The following is a 5,540-nucleotide window of genomic DNA, read 5'->3' on the forward strand; positions in this document are numbered from 1 at the left end:
CGACTCCGGGGCGGGCTCTCGCACTCAAGTCCCGAGATGGGATGATTTTCCAACTTTCGTCCAGCCTCTCCTTCCGCTCCCGCCGCTCTGCTAGCACTCCCGCACTCTCTCCCTGGGTCACAACCCTCGCCTGCGGAATACCTGTCTGAAGGGCGCGTCAGTAGAAGCTTCGTTTCATACTACCTTTCTTACTGTTCTCTTCATCTAAATCGCAGGACATTATTCTCGGCTTCATTTCCACATAGCATTCGGCAGTGGACAAGGAGTAGGCGGACCCGAACCTGAACCTGACAGCTGATGCCGTGAAGTGGACACTTGAAGTTCTTGGTTTGGCTTTAGGGAGCGTTTAGGGAATGTGTTAGGCAGCAATCGGGCAAGCATGAGCTGTAGCCCAACCCTTCCCTCCGTGGGAAAATTCAAGTTAGGACGCAATGCGAGGCCTCTTAAATCTTTAAGATCCTCGGGTCAGCTCAAAGAGTCTTTAGCAATTCGTTGTTTTGTCTTGAGACCATTATCGGTCCCTAAGCACCTAATTATTTAATGGCAGCCCTCTGGGTATATCGGGTAGACTGATAGGTCTTATCTAACATTCAAACACAAGTTTCTGGAGGAAACTCTCATCTGACTTCCTCCTTTCCCACCCGCCGCCCACTGTCATTTATTTTATTAAATGGAACCCATTTAAAATCCAAATTTATAATTATTAAAAAGCAGTCTTATTACATATTCTTGAAGATTTGGTTGTGTACGATCATTTAATCATGTAGTTTAATTTCTGTGTTGTTCCCACATTGCCAACTTGATGGAGGAGAGCAGACCCGAGGACTTTTCAACCTCCAATAAAAAAGAAGAGGACTTTATGGCTGGGGTGAAAAGGGGCTGGTGAGCTACGACAATGGGGCAGCATAGCTTTACTATGTGCAAAAGCATTCAGACACATGGCGACCCTTTTGCAATAAAACTTTATTGATGATCGTTTGAAAGTTATGGCAACTCCAAGGTTATAAAACTTGTCATAAAATACCAAGCAGTCATTAGTTTACCTGACCTCATTTCAATATAAACTTCCACAAAACATTTTATTTTGTTCCTTCTTATAAGTGGAGAAAAGAAGTTGAAGAGGTTAAATACAGCGGCCCATTATTGAGGATCCAAAATCTGCAATTTGACACTCTGACCTTCATCCCTGCAAATAAAGCAGTAAAATTTACATTTTATTCTTTAATGTTCCGTTATTGCAGAAAAGTTAATAGTGTGTAAATGTTATTGTAGAAAAGATAATAACAGCTATGTTTTAGTTCCAACTGCCCATTTTTAGCACATAACCTGTGTTTAATTTTGGATGGAGACTTTTTCCTCTTTGGAAGATTTGTAAGATATATTTAACAATTATTAAAGAATATTTGCTCCCCGAGCTATGCAATAGAAGTCTAAGAAGCAAATGGCCACATGTTGTCATGTGACCTGAAGAGTTGTTCAAAATATTCAATTAGTATTTACAGCTATTGAGAGGTTAGATGACTAATCACTACCTCTTGCCACCCTCAGTCATGAGCTTAAAGAAAGGCAGCTGCCCTGAGATTGGCACGTACAACTATACTACAGAAAATAACCCAAACTGATGTTCCAAGAAAGCTCCAGGAGATAAACTGGAGTTTGTCAAAATCATCATTTCTGGTCCAACTGTATGAGTGGACTTAAACCATGGATCAGAGAACAGCCACAGAACACTGATAACTTTGAGTGGCTTCTCATCGCTCCAAACTCCACTTTGGATTGGCTGAAGCTCGTGTTTCCTTAATGCTGTGTAGCTAAGGCCAATCTACCTGCTTTTGGGGATTTGTGAGCAAGTACAGATGGCAAAGGTTGACTTTGTGTTAGCTGCATGGTGATTTCTCCAAAACATGTAAAAGTCTGGATATACTTTTTCACGGATTGTTTAAAATATAAGCTCCAAGATTGATCCAGGCATATATGCATTTATGATGGGTTTAGGAATCTAGATGAAGAAAGCTAACTCTTTAGGACCTCGCTGGAACTCTTCTTGGTAATGTTATGCTTAGTTTCCTGGTGTGCTTTCAAGTATTTCATGGAATTTTAATGAGAAAACAACATTTTAAAAACCAAAATCTTATGTAAAATGCTGCTTTCTTCTAGGGAGTGTATGGGTGCAGAGTGTGTGTGTGTGAGGGGGGTGAGAGAGAGAGAAGAAAGAGAGAGAAAGAAAAAGAAAGAGAGAAAGAAAAAGAAAGAAAGAAAGAAAAAGAAAGAGAGAAAGAATCTCAGAGAAAGGAATAGGGATGAAGCTAAGGGAAGAGAGAAGTATTGGATAAAGTACTATAAAAAGCAAACTCTCCTAGTGTCCATAACTTTCTCTAGTTGGCTGGTACAGTTTGCAGTAATTTTCATTACCGTTTCTTAATGCCAGGTTCTCAGACACAAGTGATAATATGCATCAAAATAAAGACTTTGTGTTTCCCCAAGTCAGTACTGACTTCCAGGGAGGACAGGGAAGAAAGGGCCTATGGACCTACAATGCAGCCCATAGGCTGAACACATATCTTTAGCAGACTTAAGAAGCAAATAAGGGGTCTAAATTCAGTCCTTTGAGCTTGACATGTTTCTGAAAATCTCATACTGTGGGTTATCTTCAGAGATAAGTTGACAAATTTTTCTTATAAATGAATTGATTAAATGTATTGTGACACACATATATATGCAAACTTGTTGGCAATATTTGTTGTAGCAAAAATAGCAGTGAATTTAATTTACAATGTTTATATCCCTCTGCTATTAATCCCAGCATTCATTTGGGTTTCCCTAGATGCCTGGAGTGGTGGGAGTGGAGTAAGGTAAGGGAGAAAAAATGTCTTCTCTTTAATCTTTGACAAAAACAATTCCCTCTCCCCTTTTCATCTTCCTTCTCAAAATACTGTTCTTCACCCAAGAACCAGCTATTCAGACTCTCTATCTTGATTTTCACTGTTGTCACAGTAATATATAATGATCCCCATTCTGCTCTACCTAAGTATTATATTTACCAGAAAGTTGTGGTTATCAAAGAAGCATCCATTTGGATTCACCTTTCTGAACTACCCCTCTTATACTATATTCTGGGGAAGGCATGGAAATGACCTGAGTTGATTTCTAAAGTGTTTTTCATGTCAAAAAATCATAAGGGACAGTACATCATGCACACACTTCCTTTTCTTATATTCTGTTTTGTTCAAAGACATTAGAAAATGTTCACGAGACACCATGTCCTCCTTCAAATACTTTCCTGAGTTATCTGGTTAATTGAGGCTTAGCTGTATAATGAGAAGCATGTCTTCAGGAGGGCTTTAAAATATATGTTTGGGATTTTTTTTGGACAGCTGGGTGATAGAGTTGTGAAATCCCAAATTATGCCTTGAGTTCTGGTGACACGTCCAGGCTGCCTAGCTTTGCCTTCATCATTTTTATTGACACAAAAAATGTTCCTATAGAGGAAAAAAAGTGCAGCTTTTATGTAGTGATATCCAAGTGTATGTTATTCATTCCTTTTACAAAACTCAATGTATATTTTGCCCTAAGGGTATATATTTCTCCATGAGACTAATTGCTCTAATAGAAATAATGATGTCTCCTATGTACCTAATACCTTTATCCCCCAAAACCCTCATGTGCCTTAGCAGTTACATGATGAAACACACAGATCATGTGCATGTTGTGGCCAGAAGCCATGGCTCAACTTACACACAACTCTACCAGGTTAACCCTCTGTTTTCTGTGTGTGTGTGTATATGTGTGTGTATATATATATACGCTTTGATGTAAGAGAAACAGAAAGTCTTAAGTAATTTTGTTTCACAGCCAAAATATTATAGATAAGTCTGGTTGTAAAAGAAAACTCATACTTTTAGCTACTTTAAAATTGAAAGAAGAGGTAGGGAAGACTTTTTCTGGAAGTTATAATCCTTATATGAGCTATGTCTGAATTTTCAGAATACAATTTAAATAACACATCTTTCTACTGACTGTATTTTTTCCTCTTGGGAAAACTGGATGGATAAATGTTAAATTCTAAAATAAAAATTGGGGAAGGGTTGAAGAAAATATACCTACTTACATCAATTACCATTGAAGAACTTCATTTTGTATCAGAGTTGGAGAAATGTATAGCACTGATCTAGAATGCTACAGCTGGATTTAGAGAGTTTTAGGTACCTGGAAAATCTTCGAGGTATTTACGGTGTCTCTCTCTTGTTTTGAATTGCTTTTGGTTACCTATAAGTTAATTTGCTTTCTTTAAGTTTTAAATCCATTTGCCAATGCATGCAGTATAGTACTTTCATCTAGCAAGAAAGTGCTAAAATCTACTGGCATGAAACATTCAAACTGCAAATGGAAAATCTGCCCAGTCAGGTGGTGCTCCAGCATTTCCCCTTTAAAACACAGCAGCAGCAGTGCCTGGTTGCTGGAACTGGTTGTTGGCTTTGCTGGGGAGGCTTGTAAATGTACCATGCATTATACAGCCTGGGAAGCAGGGTGATTTGGACAGACTAAAAGAATTTTGACTTTTCTATGTTCTGACTTTCAGGGATTTAATTTTTAGCCTTAAACTGGCATTATGAAGGTTTTTTACATGGAGTAATGGGATCATTATTTCTTTTCCTAGTGAAAGGGGTGTCTCCAAGAATGGAAACATGTGGCAGGGCAGAACTCAATCCCAGAGGAATTGAATATGAATCACTCAGGCAATAAAAACTGCTAAGGGAATCTGTGTTGTCAGCTTGCCAGAACATCAGATTCACACCTCTGGTCCTGCAGGAAGGTGATATGGGGCTTTTCAAAGGTCCCCTGTGGCCATGACCTTGGTTTTCTATCCTTCTAAGGAGTGGCTCACTGGTCAGCCAATGTATTGGGCTGGCATTTTGATCCTGCAGGAAATAGAACTAGCCTTCTTCCCCAATCCTCTATATCCACCCTAGGAGTCTGACAAGAATGGTAGCCTCAGTGGTATGGCTGCATCATGCATAGGACACTGGTCCAGCATTTCTGGTGCTAATCTCTGGTTTTGCAATCCTTCCTCTCCCCCCTGCAGCCATTAAATTTACAGTCTGAATATGGCATAGAAACAGAACCCAAACTGTAGCACTTTAATGCGTAAGAACTGCAGTAAACAGAACTGTAGGAATTGGAACAATACACGAAGGATTAGTATTGTCTAAAAACCCTTCTTTATTTTTCTAAATTTTCTGCTCAAGAGATTTCTTTGTCCTTTTTGTCTACTATGCCCTTCCTTGCTAATTAGTCTGATTTTTATTAAATGTCCTGCCAGTAATATGATTTTTATTAAATGCACTACCAAAATGGATTACGCAATGACATTATGAACTTAAACATCTTTAAGATTTAAAAATGTGTAGGTAGCTTCACTGAATAAACAACACTTTACAAATTATTTTTTACCTCTGTGCAAAGGACAGTGCATCTGTTGAAGAAAACCAGCAACACTTGCTTGATTCCCGCCCCCACCAAAAAAAATGGGCTAATTCATA

The sequence above is a fragment of the Homo sapiens genome, chromosome 14, assembly GCF_000001405.40.
Source record: "Homo sapiens chromosome 14, GRCh38.p14 Primary Assembly".
Taxonomy (NCBI): domain Eukaryota; kingdom Metazoa; phylum Chordata; class Mammalia; order Primates; family Hominidae; genus Homo; species Homo sapiens.